General features: G+C 39.1%; 1 long non-coding RNA gene across 1 annotated transcript in view; it reads left to right on the top strand.

Moving 5' to 3' along the window:
• Window positions 1-13,025, top strand: part of LINC00850 (long intergenic non-protein coding RNA 850) — a 54,092-nt gene that overhangs the window by 28,038 nt on the left and 13,029 nt on the right. Inside the window, exon 2 of the long non-coding RNA NR_109813.1 lies at window positions 4,018-4,140. This is a non-coding gene — a long non-coding RNA (long intergenic non-protein coding RNA 850). The remainder of the gene's footprint in view (window positions 1-4,017; window positions 4,141-13,025) is intronic.

Raw genomic sequence — 13,025 nt, forward strand, 5'->3', positions numbered from 1 at the left:
AAAAAAGGTTAAATCTAGTAATAGTTGAATGGACCAGAGAAACTCTCTGCTAGTTCCCCAACTTTGCAGTACCCCAAACAAGTGTGCTCTGTTTCTCCCTTTCTGTAAAAATTTTAAAAACCACAAGGCAGAGATGACAAGGTAAGAAGTGCTCAGGTAAGAATTGCTCAGGGCAACAATCAGGTAGGTGGATCAAGAATAGGGCAAGGGTCCCTTGATTCAACCCCCTCACTGGAGTGGGTAAAATGGTCAGGGGATGAAGAAGAGACATCCTCAGAGTAACTGATGTGGAGGGAAGATTAATGGTCTCTTAGAAGAACAGATGGTGGTTTGTGAGGAGGTCTGTCTGGGTGTAATGTCGACTTCTGACCTCCTATTATGTGATAAGAGTCATCTTCAGAGGACTCATGACAGTTGAGTTCCTTTTGAAGGATCTGTCTTTAGATAGATAAGGGGAATTCAGAGAGCCTTGCCTTACATTTTGCTATTCTTCAACAGCCTTAAGCTCAAAGTGATTAGTATACCAAAGCAACGCATTGTAGGTTGGCATTTTATGAACTCCTCCAATAGCTAGCTTTGCTTAATGAGCAATTGAATTGTTAAGAATGAGTAAATTAGGTAAATATAAATGGAATAAACTTTATAAGTAAGCTTTCCATAGTTTCAAAAATATTTTTCCACATGGCCACATAAGAGGGTAACAACACATACTAGGGCCTATTGGAGGGTAGAGGGTGGGAGGAAGGAGAGGATCAGGAAAAATAACTAATGGTACTAGGTTTAATACCTGGATGATGAAATAATCTGTAAAACAAGCCCCCATGACACAAGTTTACCTATATAACAAACCTGCACATGTACCCCTGAAAGTAAAATAAAACTTGAAAAAAAAATCTTGTTTCATCACTGGGCATCTTAATATTATGTTATGTTAAATGAAATAATAGATAGTCATAAAATGTCTAAGTCATTCCTAAGCAAGTTAAATTATTGAAACATTAATTGCTGAACATAAATATAAAGTATCGATACTTTGGAAGCTTATTTTTATAGGTATAGTGAAGTTTAATATATTTGAGTCTGTTGTTAAACAAAAAAATTGTGATATGAAAAGTATATCTATAAAATGTTAGCATATGACAGTTCAAAATTGCCTCCTGTATAGTTTCACATAAAAATTAAGATCATAAGGGATTTTGAAAATTCTAACATGTGGTAACTAAAACTAAAATAAAGGAAAACAACTCTATAAGTGAGGAAAGGAAGGCATATCTTATTTTAAAAAAAGGCATATGTATGATGCTGTGTTTGCCTTAAGGGAAAAAGAGAACAATTTTTACCCTAAAATAGAATGACTGATTGTTCCACAATGTGAAAAAGTATATGAAAGACCAAAGAGATACAAGAACATAATAGGATTGTGAAAAGAATTTCATGTGGGGTCAAGCATGCTAAAACGGAATAAATTTATTATAAGAGGTTTTTTTGAATGAGCTTTAATATCAAAAGTACCCTGATGCAAAACTAGAATCGGGTCTTTGCTTTTGAAAATGGGTATTTCCTTGGAGTGTTGATAAGAGACTAGGAAACATTTTCATATCCTTTCAGTGATCTACCTAAGGAACAAAAAAATAATAAATTCAGTGTTTTGTCAGGATTTTTTTGTCGTCTTTTATAAGGTATTTTGTCTTTTTATGGGTCTTTTATCAGGTATTTTGATTTTTTTAAAAAAAATTAGTCTTATAAATCTTCAGAGACCTAAGTCTTTTGAAAGCTATGTAACATATCTGTATTTGTCTTTGTTTCATAATGATTGGTGATACTGTTTAGTGAAGTGCTTTAAACCTTGTGACATCTTTCAAAAACTTCTCAAAATCATATCCTAAATTAAGTCTTTCTTGATCCTAAATTAATGTTAGAACATTCCAAAGGGCTCCTAAACCTCTTCAAAGGAAGGGAGATATTAAACCAATTAGGCTTATTTGATAAGTTAAATTATTGGGACACATTGTCAAATAAAAAGTGATATTTAACCTACTTTGACTCTATTTTTATAGATGTCACTAATATGCACTCCAAAAGTTGCATGAGATTCCTAGAAAACTGATACGTTATCAGTCATCATTTCAGCCATTATGTTAAAATGTTGTATGTCACAGAAATAACCAAATTTCCTTATCAACAGTGTCATCATTATAATGCACTCTCATCAGATTTTTATTATTATTATTACACTTTAAGTTCTAGGGTACACGTGCACAACATGCAGGTTTGTTACATAGGTATACATGTGTCATGTTGGTTTGCTGCACCCATCAACTAGTCATTTACATTAGGTATTTCTCCTAATGCTATCCCTCCCCCAGCCCCCGACCCCCGAACAGGCCCCAGTGTGTGATGTTCCCCACCCTGTGTCCAAGTGTTCTCATTGTCAAATTTCCACCTAAGAATGAGAACATGTGGTGTTTGGTTTTCTGTCCTTGTGATAGTTTGCTGAGAATGAGCTCATCAGATTTTAAACCATGACCATTTCGAGTCTTGTCACCCACAGTTAATTATTTTTGAATGCTTTTTCAAGCAACTGTAATCCTATTTTTTTTCCTCTTTTTTTTTTTTTTTTTTGAGATCGAGTCTCATTCTGTCGCCCAGGCTGGAGTGCAGTGTCGTGATCTCAGCTCACTGCAACCTCCACCTCCCAGGTTCAAGTGATTTTCCTGCCTCAGCCTCCTGAAAAGCTGAGAATACAGGAGCCTGCCACCACGCCCAGCTAATTGTTGTATTTTTAGTAGAGACAGGGTTTCACCATTTCGGCCAGGCTGGTCTCGAACTCCTGACCTCAGGTGATCCACCCGCCTCGGCCTCCCAAAGTGCTGGGATTACAGGCATGAGCCACCACGCCTGGCCCAGCAACTGTAATCCTTAAGTGCTTTGTCTTCAAAAAGACTCATGGAAAAGATTCTGAAAAGTACAGGATTCTGGTAACTTTAAGATCATACCATTGGACTTGATAAGAATGTCCATAAATCTAATGAAGAAACTGATGACTTCATGAAACCATTGCTCCAACATCAAGCAGAACAAGAATTAATTACACGGGAATAAATGAACTGATGAGGATAATGTTTTCATATTTTTTATTTTGGAATTTTCTTGCTTCTTTATTTTAATGTTTTGTTTTCCAGATTTAAGGAAACTTCTTTATTTTAAGGTATCTAGGGCTCACTATAATTTGGTAAAGTATAATTTTGTGAACAAAATTGAAATCATTTAATTTTTCTGTCTACTTGGTCCCTCTAGGAATCAGAAACAATATATATATTTTCTAGTTTTTATGGCGATATTGTTTGCATAAGTTCAATCACAATCTGCTCTCTTTATAACAGGATACAGTTGGCAATACTAGTTATATTACCAAGACAGTCACTGGGACACCACATTTGGGAAAGTCCATAGAATTCATGGCTTTGAGGGTTCCTAGCCTTATACTGAGTGAGAAAAAAAAGTCACTTCCTGAAGGCCCAGGGACCTCAAAATATTTTGGGGACCCGGAGAAGAGAGGAATTCACCCAAATCTGTATAGCAGGCAGTCTGAAGTCTGCCTTGGTTTGGCTTCCTAGCATGAAGAGGCTTTGAAAAGTGTAATCTGAGAATCCTTATTAAAAGCTCCAGCAGAGCAACCTTTAAAAAGAGCTTATTTGGCTAATCACAATCTTTACTGCGCTTAAGTAAATAATCAGGCCAAGTTTGATGATACTAAACTTATTTTGCTATCAAAATAGTCATACTCTGATTATCTTTCTTAGAAACGGGGATGACCGAAGACAGAAAAAATATGTTTTGGGAAAATTTAAAAAAAAAACTATTGTGCACCTATTATTAGACTGTATCTCTGTTCATTGTTTTTGAGTTATTATTATCTATTTGTAGACCATACTTGATTCCAAATTGTTCTAGTTTTCTCCATTACCTGGCTACAATTCCTGTACTAACAACAAAATCTGCTCCATTCCTCTATAGGCTGGAGGTGAACCCCTCAATGTAAGTGTCAAGGGACAACATTCCTGCCTGATATGTGAGCCAATCAGGAGTTCACTACAATCCGTGAAGCCATAACCAGGGACATTCAAACTGCAAACCAGGGTAAGAAGTTGATGACTTCAGAGTTTCAGTCATGATGGTTAACTAGACACAGCCAGGAGGATCATCTGCCACTGAGAGACTAGGACATATGGAAGACTGTCACACTCCAAGCAGATCTTCAGAGGGAAAGCACTGAGAGTGGATGGAGATGGGATGCAGATGCTGGGCTGAAGGGGGAGGAAGCTGGGAACCCTGCACAAGGCTACCATGCACCGGGACTCATTCCTGGCAACCAGCGACAACTGGGGAAGGGGTGAGTTAAACAGGCAGGGAGTGGTCTGCTCTTGCCATAGACATGAGGAATCCTAGCAGCAGGAGACCCCACAACCCCCACAGGCACTTGAGCTGGCAGGGAGAGCTACTTAGAGAGGTGGTAGGGTCAATACTCCAGCCTGTGCAGAGCCCAGATGGTTTGGTGCTGAAATATCTGCAGTGGAGAACCACCAGGGATGCCCATTCCACAAGGCTCACCATTTTCCTCTAGAAGACTTTAGCCTTGGGGCGACTGTCGGACCTGGACAGACCAGCATGATATTGCCTGTGACATGGGACCTGTCCAATCTGAGTGCCACCCTGTCTGCTCTCATCTCCCAGGGCCCCAGCCTAGCCTTGCCTGCTTGCAGTACAGCCTGGGATGCCCTACCACAGTGCTTCCCGGGGTCTTTATCGTAGTTCCTTCACCAGCAGAACATGTTTGATAACTGCAGCAGAGTGGCCCCCATCAAAGTGTCCCAGCCCACCTGTACACTCTCCCCACTGCAGCCTCCCCCACACCACTTTGCTGGCATATACTCACCCACAGCCACCACCATACCACTTTGCTTATGCACACATGCAGGCAGACCTCAACTCCCCTCCTCAGCTGATATGCATATGAGCAAACAGGATGTCATGCCACTGCTGCTGGCGTGAGGACATCCCACCACACCACCTGCTGACGTGTTGGCACCTAGATATCTTGCCACTTCTGGCGTGAATGTGCAAACGTATGCTGGCAACACCAGCCCCCCTCCCCCGTGCCGCCACAGGTGTGAACATAGGCATGGACACCAGCAGCTCTGCCCCACCACCTTGCACTGCCACCTCTACTGGTGCAAACACACTCATGGAAGCCAGCAGCTCCAGGCCCGCCTGTGTCCCACCCCTGCTGTTGCCAACATTGGCATGAGTGGACACATGGACTCCAGCAACCCTGCCCCTGTCGACATCCCATACCTTGTCATACCACAGCTGCTGCCACTGCCATGAGTATACACTATAATGCCTCAGCCTTGTTCCTGCTAGTACTCAGCCTCAGCCATGGTGCATGTACCATGCTGTGTTTCTGTGGCTGCTAACATGTGTAAGGAGGCAAGGATCCCAATGTCACTTCCCTAACAATGTACTTCAGCCAGCACCACTCATGGGAGTGTGGTGACCAGCAGACCAGCAACACCTCTTCTCCTCCAGCATGGCAGGTTGCTAACCTTGAGCAGCTGGAGAACAAAGCTAGGGGCCCAGTCTCAGCCCCCCACAGTTAGAGCCCACAATTCATGGGTGCTGAGCTAAGCCTTGGCCTCCTAAAATCATCCAGAAATGAAGCCAGTTGACTGCACACACTTGATACCACAATCAAACCCTTAAGAGCAAAAAAGAAGATAAATGCAAAAAAAAAAAAATCCGAAGTACAGTAACTTCAAAGACTAAAGGAACACCAGCCCACACAGATAAGAAAGAAACAGTGCAAGAACTCTGGAAACTCAAAAAGTCAGAGCTACACTAGGTCCCCAGCAATAGTTCCTAACCAGGCTGAAATTGCTGAAATGACAGACATAGAATGCAGAATATGGTTAGGAATGAAAATCATCAACCTTCAAGAGCAAAACTCAATCCAAGGATTCTAAGAAATGCAATAAAACAATTCAGGAGATGAAAGATGAAATGGCCATTTTAATAAAGAACCAAACCAAGCTGATAAAGCTGAAAAATTCACTTCAAGAATCTCAAAATACAATTACAAGTATTAACAATTAAATTGATCAAGCTGAGGAAAGATTCTAAGAGATGGAAGACCTGATTTCCAAAACAACTTAGACAATAAAGAAGAATGAATAAAATTTCTGAGAAATATGAGATTATGTAAAGAGACCAATTCTATGACTCATTGTTGTCCCTGAAAGACAGAGAGAGAAAGCAAGCAACTTGGAAAACATATTTAGGATATCATCCATGAAAATTTCCCCAACTTTGCTAGAGAGGCCGAGATTCAAATTCAAGAAATGCAGAGAACCCATGTGAAATACTACACATGAGCACTATCCCCAAGACACATAGTCATCAGATTCCCCAAGGTAGAAATGAAACAAAAAAATGTTAAAGGCAGCTAGAGAAAAGTGGCAGGTCACCTACAAAGGGAGCCCCAACAGAATAACTGAGGGTCTTCTAGCAGAAACTGCACAAGTCAGAAGAGAATGGAGGCCTACATTGAACATTCTTAAAGAAAATAATTTTCAACCAGAAATTTTATATCCAGCCAAACTAAGCTTCATAAGCAAAAGAGAAATAAATTCCTTTTCAGACAAGCAAGTGTTAAGGGATATTGTTACCACCAGGGCTGCCTTACAAGAGGTCCTGAAGCAAATGCTAAACATGGAAAGGAAAGACCATTACTGGCCATTGCTAAAACACACTTAAATACATAGACCAGTGACACTATAAAACAACCACACAAACAAGTCTACTTAATAACCAGCTAACAACATGATGACAGGAACAATTCCACACATATCAATTGTTACCTTGAATACAAATGTGCTAAATTCCCCCAATTAAAATCCACAAACTAGCTAAACAAGCAAGATAAACAAGCAAGATCCAATGGTATGCTGTCTTCAAGAGACCCATCTCACATACAATGACACCCATAGGGTCAAAGTAAAGAGATGGAGAAGAACCTATAAAACAAATGAAAAACAGAAAAAAAGCAGAAGTGGCTATTCTAATTTCAGACAAAACAGACTTTAAGCCAACAAAGATGAAAAAAAGACAATGAAGGGCATTATAAAGTGGTAAAGGGTTCAATTCAACAAGAGGACTTAACTATCCCAAATATATATGCACCCAGTTTCATAAAGAAAGTACTTAGAGATAAATGAAGAGACTGACATAACCACACAATACTAGCTGGAAAATTCAACAATCCACTGAGAGTATTACAGATCACTGAGGCAGAAAACAGAGAAAGGTATTCAGGACCTGAACTTGACACTTGACAAAATGGACCCAGCAGACATCTACAGAGCTCTCCAACAAAAAACAACAGAATACACATTATTCTCATCTGCACGTGGCACATATTCTAAAATAAGCCACACAATCAGACATAAAACAATCCTTAGCAAGTTTAAAAAAAAAGAAAAGAAAACATGCCAACCAACCACACTCTCAGACCACAGTGAAATAAAAAGATAATTCAAAGAAAATCGCTTAAAACTACACAATTACATTAAAATTAAACAAGCTTCTCCTGAATGACTTTTAGGTAAATAATAAAATTAACTTAGAAATTGAAATATTCTTTGAAACTAATGAGAACAAAGATACAGCATACCTAAATCTCTGGAACACAGCTAAAGCAGTGTTAAGAGGGAAGTTTATAGTATTGCATCAAAAGGTTGGAAAGTTCTCAGATTAGCAACCTAATGTCAAACCTAGAGGAACTAGAGAAACAATAGCAAACCAACCCCATAGATAGCAGAAGAGCAAAAATAACCAAAATCAGATCTGAACTGAAGGAAATTGAGATGTGAAAAGCCATTAAAAAAATCAAATCCAGGACTTGATTTTTGAGAGGATAAATAAATAAGATTGATAGAACACTAGCCAGACTAACAAAAAAAGAGAGAAGATCCAAATGAACACAATCAGAAAAGACAAAGGGGACATTACCACTGACCCCACAGAAATACAAAAAAAAAGTCTCAGAGACTACTATGAGCACCTCTTTGCACACAAACTAGAAAACCTAGAAGAAATGGATAAATTTCTGAAAACATACAACCTTCCAAGATTGAACAGGAAGAAACTGAATGCCTGAACAAACCAATAATAGTTTCTAAAATTGAATCCGTAGTAAAAAGCCTACCAGCTAGAAAAAGCTCAGGACCAGACAAAGTCACAGTCAAATACTACCAGATTATAAAGAAGTGATGTTACCATACCTACTGAAACTATTCCACAAAGTTGAGGACGAGGGACTCTCTTTAACTCATTCTATGAGGTCAACATCATCCTCATACCAAAACCTGACAGAGACACAAGAAAAAAAAATAAAACTTCAGGCCAATATCCTTGACACAGACAAAAATCATCAACTAAATAGGACCAAACCAAATGCAGCTGCATATCAAAAACCTAATCCACCATGATCAAGTAGGCTTTATCCCCGGGATGTAAAGGTGGTTCTACATATGCAAGTAAGTAAGTGTGATTCATTACGTAAACAGAATCTAAAACAAAAACCACATGATGATCTCAATAGATGAAGAAAAGAGTTTCTATAAAATTCAACATTCCTTCTTGTTAAAAACCCAAAAAAAACCAGGCTTTGAAGGAATATACTTCCAAATAATGACAGCAATCTGTGACGAGCTTGCAGCCAACATCATACTGAATGGGCAAAAGCTGGAAGCATTTTCCATGAGAAATAGAAAAAGACAAGGATGACCACTCTCACCACTCGTATTCAGCATAGTAATGGAAGTCCTAGCCAGAGAAATCAAGCAAGAGGATCATATAAAAGGCATCAAAATAGGAAGAGAGAAAATCAAACTACCTCTGTTTGTAGACAATTTGATTCTATAACTAGAAAACCCATAGTCTCTGCCCAAAAACTTCTAGTTCTGATAAACAACTTCTACAATGTCTCAGGATACACAACGTACGATAATCAGTAACATCTCTATACACCAACAACATCCAAGAAGAGAGCCAAATCAAGAATGCAATCTCATTCACAACAGCCACAAAAAAAGAATGAAATATCTAGGAATACAGCTAACCAGAGTGATGAAACATTTCTACAAGAATTATAAAACATTGGTCAAAGAAATGAGAGATAACACAAACAAATGGAAAATATTCCACGTTCAAGGAGAGTAAGAATCAATATTGTTGAAATGACCATACTGCCCAAAGTAATTTAGAGACTCAATGCTATTCCTATCAAACTGCCAATGACATTTCTCTCACAATTAGAAAAAAAATCTATTTTTAAAATTCATATGGAACCAAAAACAGCCCAAATAGCCAGGGCAATCTGAAGCAAAAAGAGCAAAGTTTGAAGCGTCACACTGCCTGAATTCAAACTGCACTACAAGGCTACAATAACCAAGAAACCATGGTACTGGTACAAAAAACAGACATATAAACCAATGGAACAGGTTAGAGAACCCATAAATAAAACCACACACCTACAATCACCTGATCTTTGACAAAGTCAACAAAAATAAGCAGGGGGGAAAGGACTACCCATTCAACAAATGGTGCTGGGATTACTGGCTAGCCATATGTAGAAGATTGAAACTGGACCACTTCATTACATCATATTCAAAAAACAACTCAAGATGGATTAGAAACTTAAACCTAAAACCTAAAACTATAAAAACCCTGGAAGAGAACCAAGAAAATACCATTTTAGACCTAGGCCCTGGCAAGGATTTCACAATGATGCCAAAAGCAATTGCAACACAAACAAAAATTGACAAATAGGACCTAATTAAACTGAAGAGCATCTGCACAGCAAAAGAAACTATTAAGAGAATAAACAGACAATCTACAGAATGGGATAAAATATTTGCAAACTATGCATTTCACAAAGGTCTAATATTCAGAATCTATAAGGAACTTAAACAAATTTACAAGCAAAACAACAACTCAATTAAAACATGAGCAGAGGCCAGGCACGGTGGCTCATGCATGTAATTCCAGCACTTTGGGAGGCTGAGGCAGGCAAATCACAAGGTCAGGAGTTCGAGACCAGCCTGGCCAATATGGTGAAACCCTGCTTCTACTAAAAACACAAAAAAAATTAGCCAGGCGTGGTGGTGTATGCTTGTAATCCCAGCTACTTGGGAGGCTGAGACAGGAGAATTGCTTGAACCTGGGAGGTGGAGGTTGCAGTGAGCCGAGATTGCGCCACTGCACTCCAGCCAAGGCGACAGAGTGAGACTCTGTTCCCCGACCCCACCCCCCAAAAAAAAAGTGAGCAAAGGACATGAACAGACACTTTTCAAAAGAAGACATACACGTGGCCAACAAACATATGAAAAAATTTTCCACATCACCAACTATTAGAGAAATACAAATCAAAACCACAATGAGATACGATCTCAAACCAGTCAGAATGGCTACTACTAAAAAGTGAAGAAAATAACAGACACTGGTGAGGTTGCAGAGGAAAGGGAATTCTTATACACTGCTGGTGAGAATGTATGTTAGTTCTGCCACTGTGAAAAACCCAGTTGTGATTTCTGAAAGAACTTAAGGCAGAATTACCATTAAACCCAGCAATCCCATTATTGGGTATATACCCAAAGGAATCGTTCTATCATAAAGACACATGCATGCATATATTCATTGCAGCACTATTCACAAAAGCAAAGATATAGGATCACCTACATGTCCATCAGCAATAGATTGGAAAAAGAAAATGTGGTACATATACACCATGGAATACTACACAGCCATAAAAAGAGATCATGTCCTTTGCAGCACCATGGATGGAGCTGGAGGCCATTATTCTAAGTGAACTAACACAGGAACAGAAAACCAAATACCACATGTTCTCAGTTATAAGTGGGAGGTAATCATGGAGTCCACATGGACACAAAGAAGGGAACACAGACACAAGAGCCTATTTGAAGTTGGAGGGTGGGAGGAGGGTGAGGATTGAAAAACCATCTATCATGTACTATGCTTATTACCTGGATGAGGCGTGCACCAAACCCCCATGACACACAATGTACCTGTATAACAAACCTGCACAAGTACCCCTGAACCTAACATAAAAGTTAAAAAGGTATGACTTCTTATGAAGTCACACTTGAAATAAAACTTATTGACTTACTGAAGTCTTATTGAAATAAGACTATCACAATGACACCCTTACCCCTCTTAATTTTTTCTTACTTATGCTTACCTCATTCACTTGTCAGGATAATACCTGTACAACTGATTCTTGAATAAAGTGAGGGCTGGAGGCACTGACTCCCAATGCAGTCAAAAATCTACATATAACATACTACTCCCCAGAAACATAACTACTAATAGCTTACGGCTGACTGGAAACCGTAAGAATTAACACATATTTTTTTCTGTTTAATGCATTATGTACTATACTCTTACAATAAAGAAAGCTAGAGAAGAGAAAGGGTTATTAAGAAAATCCTATGTAAGACAAAACATATTTACTATTCATTAAGTGAAAGTGGATCATCATAAGGGTTTTGCATTTATATATTTTACGTATTTGTATATTTTAGTAAAATATATTTACTATTTATTAAGTGAAGTGGGTCATGATAAGGGTTTTTGTCCTCATCATCCACACTTTCAGTAGGCTGTGGAAGAGAAGGAAGAGGAGTGGTTATTCTCACAGTCTCAGGAATGGCATGAGCAGAAGAAAGTTCATGTATAACTGGACCGACACATTTCAAACCTACGTTGTTCAAGGGTCAAAAGTAGTTAGAATTTTACAATGATTAGATTCCATAAAAAGTTGGATATGCCATGCCAAACCCATATTTTTACATGACCTAAGAGAATTTTTAATCCACCCAGTAGCTAGCTTTATCAACATCCTTGATGCAATTGTTTATCCAAACTTTACTAGTAATCCCTTTTATAGAGTCAGACTTCCAGACCCACTTGACCTCACTCTCTGCTTTAATTTAGCCCTGTGATAGGATAGTAGATCATAGAACTGCAACCTTCTAGCTCAAAACGGAGGGATCTCTGCAGTTGCTAACACTTTCAGTTGCATGTGGATAAATAGGACAAACAGGCTGCTTGGTTAAAACAAGTAGATTCCTCATCTGGCTCATTCTTTGATCTGTTCAATTTCAGTTGGTTTAATTCATGGGAAGCCTGCCTAAGGGGCTGTTTTTAAAATTCCCAGCCAAACTGAGGTTCCAGTACCAGAGTAGCTGGTAAGGTTTCCATAACTGGAAATGAAGGGGAGCTTAAGGTAGGTGTTTCCAGTATGCCTTTCACAGGATAATTCTTGTGCCTAGTTGTCCAACCATTGATTAGGTAGCCCCTCATGTGGGAAATTTGTTTATAATGGCAGATGTCACTGTGGTTCTTGTCTAATCTGTGTTTCGTTTATGCCTGCCTGACCACCGTTCTGTCACATGGACCCTGATCTTGTGTTCCCCACAACATCCCAGGTAAAGCCTGGCCTTGGTTAGACACAGGATATTCAAATGGAAGGCAAAAATTCAAATTACCACCATGACAGGAAATAAGTTCAAAGATTTATTACTTACAGATCCTGGTCAGAGAGGGTTCAAAGAGTTGGGAGGACGGTTCTCTATTCCCTAATGATATGAGGCAGGAATGAAGAAGCAAAGAATCAGGCACAGAGAGAGGGAAGGGAGAGAGACAGAGACAGAGAGAGAGAGAGAGAGAGAGAGAGAGAGAGAGCAGTATAAATATAGAAAAATAGGACATGGGTCATGTTAAGTTCACAGGCAAATGCCTGAATGGTACTTTTAAAGTAAAAGATATGGAGGGAAAAACAGGGGAAGCCCAGTCTTTTAGGTGGGAGAGACACCTCTAAATTTTTATCTCTGACCAGAGGCTTGAGACATTTGGGTGTGATGTTCTACTTCAATTGGCTAGGCAGC

Source organism: Homo sapiens, chromosome X (assembly GCF_000001405.40).
Source record: "Homo sapiens chromosome X, GRCh38.p14 Primary Assembly".
Lineage (NCBI taxonomy): Eukaryota > Metazoa > Chordata > Mammalia > Primates > Hominidae > Homo > Homo sapiens.